The 1,176-nt window shown below is 48.5% G+C and overlaps 1 annotated feature.

Annotated features, from left to right (window-relative positions):
- Positions 207-934: an enhancer, noted in NCBI's record as "H3K4me1 hESC enhancer chrX:2467730-2468457 (GRCh37/hg19 assembly coordinates)". NCBI's record gives its function as "activates a minimal SCP1, AML or CMV promoter by ChIP-STARR-seq in primed H9 embryonic stem cells {active_cell/tissue: H9 hESC(primed)}" and the evidence as "EXISTENCE:reporter gene assay evidence [ECO:0000049][PMID:30033119]".

Below are 1,176 nucleotides of genomic sequence, written 5' to 3'. Positions count from 1 at the left end.
TAAACCTCTTTGCAATGGTCCCCCTGGATTTTGCGTGCATGTCTTCCAGCACTGGAGCTGCCTGACCTGTGCTTGCAAGGGTTCCGTAACACTGGATAGGACAGAAGCTCCGCCCAGCCCCACATGAGAGCTCTGTGCTCTTCAGGGACCATGTCCTATTCACACTGTCTCCCTCACATCTAATACAGTCATGATACTCGGCAATATAGTACTCCACCCAACAGGCAACTGGGAGTCTGCCAGTGATACAGGAGTTAAGAAGAAATCACTTAGGCAGACAGTAAGGGTATGGGAGTCCTTGGTAAGGCTTTTCTCTTTAATGAAAAGCAGCCCCAAGTCATTTTCTAACAAAGAGCAGCCTGTCAAGTCAAGCTGCAGACATAGACAAGCCAGCTGGGAGCTTGCACGGGTGAATGCCGGCAGGAACTAGGGACTAGAGACGTTCAACAGGGTGGCTCCATCTTCCTCCTCTTTGTCGGCCACTTGTACAGTAAGGAGCAGACAAGATGGCGCCTATCAAGTGGAAAGCCCATTTGCATAATAAGATTAAGGTGGGGCAATCAGCCTTCCCCACAGGCGCTATGTAAACGTACCTGATGGAACCAATCTGTGAGCCCTACATAAATCAAACACCACCTTCTCCAGCCTGCCTATAAAATCTGCTGCTGACTGCCACCTCCCTACTTTTCAGATGTCTCTCTCTCTCTCTCTCTCTGGCAAGGAGCTGCTCTCTTCTTTCCTTTCTTTGTCTCTTAAACTTTCCACTCCTTAATCCACCCACACGTGTCTGTGTCCTGAATTCTTTCTCGGTGCGAGACAATGAACCCCAGGGTATGTACCCCAGACAATGTAGCTGTTTCATCATGATGACAGTCACAGGCAAACCAAGGTGGTGATAACTGCATTTGCTCACTGGCTCTGCAACAAATCCACTCAAGACCTAGAAAAGAGTATATTCAATCTGCGACCCTCCATGCTGCAGAGGCATCTGATGAGAGGGCTTTTTGCAGAATCAGGTTAAAGTATGGTCAGAGGTGTTTGAACCAGAGCAACTCCATCTTGAATAGGGGCTGGGCAAAATGAAGCTGAGACTTATGGGCTGCATTCCCAGATGGTTAAGGCATTCTAAGTCACAGGATGAGATAGGAGGTCGGTACAAGAGACAGGTCATAAAGA

The sequence above is a fragment of the Homo sapiens genome, chromosome X (assembly GCF_000001405.40).
Source record: "Homo sapiens chromosome X, GRCh38.p14 Primary Assembly".
Lineage (NCBI taxonomy): Eukaryota > Metazoa > Chordata > Mammalia > Primates > Hominidae > Homo > Homo sapiens.
The sequence above is the reverse complement of the archived record's forward strand: the minus strand, read 5'-3'. Positions and strand labels throughout refer to the sequence as shown.